This window comes from Homo sapiens, chromosome X, assembly GCF_000001405.40.
Source record: "Homo sapiens chromosome X, GRCh38.p14 Primary Assembly".
NCBI classification, from domain to species: Eukaryota; Metazoa; Chordata; class Mammalia; order Primates; family Hominidae; genus Homo; species Homo sapiens.
In genome coordinates, this window is record NC_000023.11 from 17,357,377 (window position 1) to 17,358,811 (window position 1,435).

The 1,435-nt window shown below is 36.8% G+C and overlaps 1 non-coding gene across 1 annotated transcript; it reads left to right on the forward strand.

Annotated features, from left to right (window-relative positions):
• Window positions 1–553: 553 nt before the first annotated feature.
• LOC124905270 (small nucleolar RNA U13) lies at window positions 554–657 on the forward strand. Its single transcript, XR_007068434.1, has one exon. It is a non-coding gene; the product is annotated as a small nucleolar RNA U13 (small nucleolar RNA).
• Window positions 658–1,435: the final 778 nt, after the last annotated feature.

Genomic DNA, 1,435 nt, shown 5'->3' on the forward strand with positions numbered 1-1,435 from the left:
CAAAAGGTTTTTGGTTACGTGGATGAATTTTATAGTGGTGAATTCTGAGATTTTAGTGCACCCGTCACTCAAGTAGTGTACATTGTACCCAATATGTAGTATTTTTTATCCCTCACCTCCCCCTTCTGAGTCTCCAAGGCCCATTATATCATTCTGTATGCCTTTGCGTACTCATGGCTTAGCTCCCACTTATAAGTGAGAACATACAATTTTTGGTTTTACATTCCTGAGTTATTTCACTTAGAATATTGGCCTCCAGCTCCATCCAAGTTGCTGCAAAAGACATTATTTCATTCATTTTTAGGGCTGAGTAGTATTCCATGGTCATATATATATATATATATATATATATATATATATATATATATATATAAGACCTATCAATAGTAGGTCTTATTCATTCTTTCTATTTTCTTTTGTACCCAGTAACCATCCCCACCTCCCCCTCAACCCCCCACTACCCTTTCCAGCCTCTGGTAACCATTCTTCTACTCTCTATGTCCCATGTTCAGGATTTTGAGGAACTAAACATGTACATAAAATTCAAGTACATAGTTTTCTGTGGTTCATAAGCATGATGATTGGGTTTTCATGCTTATGTGTGAGATGTGCCTCCCTCAAACCTTGTTACGACATTGGCACATTACCCATCTGATGTGAAAAAAATTACATACTATTTACTCTGATGAAGAATAAGGATGTAAGAGCCTATTAGTAAAATTGTATGTTGTGTGTAGAATAACGTTTAAAATAATGTTATATGACAAATAACTGTAGTTGCAGGTTCTCAATAAAATAGAAACATCCTTCACTGGTATGCAGGCTATTGAGTCACTATTTTACCTCCAGCACTTTAGTAGTTTCTCAAAGAATGAAGGGACCGAAAGTTAGAAGATTCTGTCTCAGCTGTTCTTGCCCTTTCAGAATAGAATTCCAGGCAGAGATTAATTTGGGCCTTGAAAATCTTTCTACTTTTTTTCTACTTCAGAATCAGACTTTTCTTTTTCTGTACCTACTTAGAGTAGGTAAGTTTATCCTAGTATGAGCAAAGACAACTAAGTAAGTAAGTAACAAACCAAAATGTAGCATAAAGGAGTTGCATGTATGTGTGTGATGCACACATATGCATGGAAGGGATGTACTTTACATTTGTTTTTTGTTGTTGTTGTCATTTTTTTTTTAATTTTAGTAGAGACGAGGTCTCACTATGTTGCCCAGGTTGGTCTTGAACTCCTTGGCTTAAGCGATCCTCCTGCATAGGCCTCCCAAAATGCTAGGACTGCAGACATGAGCCACCATGCCTGGCCACCTTTGTAATCTGCATAAATCTGGGTCACCCTAATGTTCACCTCCGCTTAGTGCATATTCAGAAGATACACTGCTCTAACAATCCAAAATAATTGAAAACCTATTTAAATTGTTTACAGCAGTATCC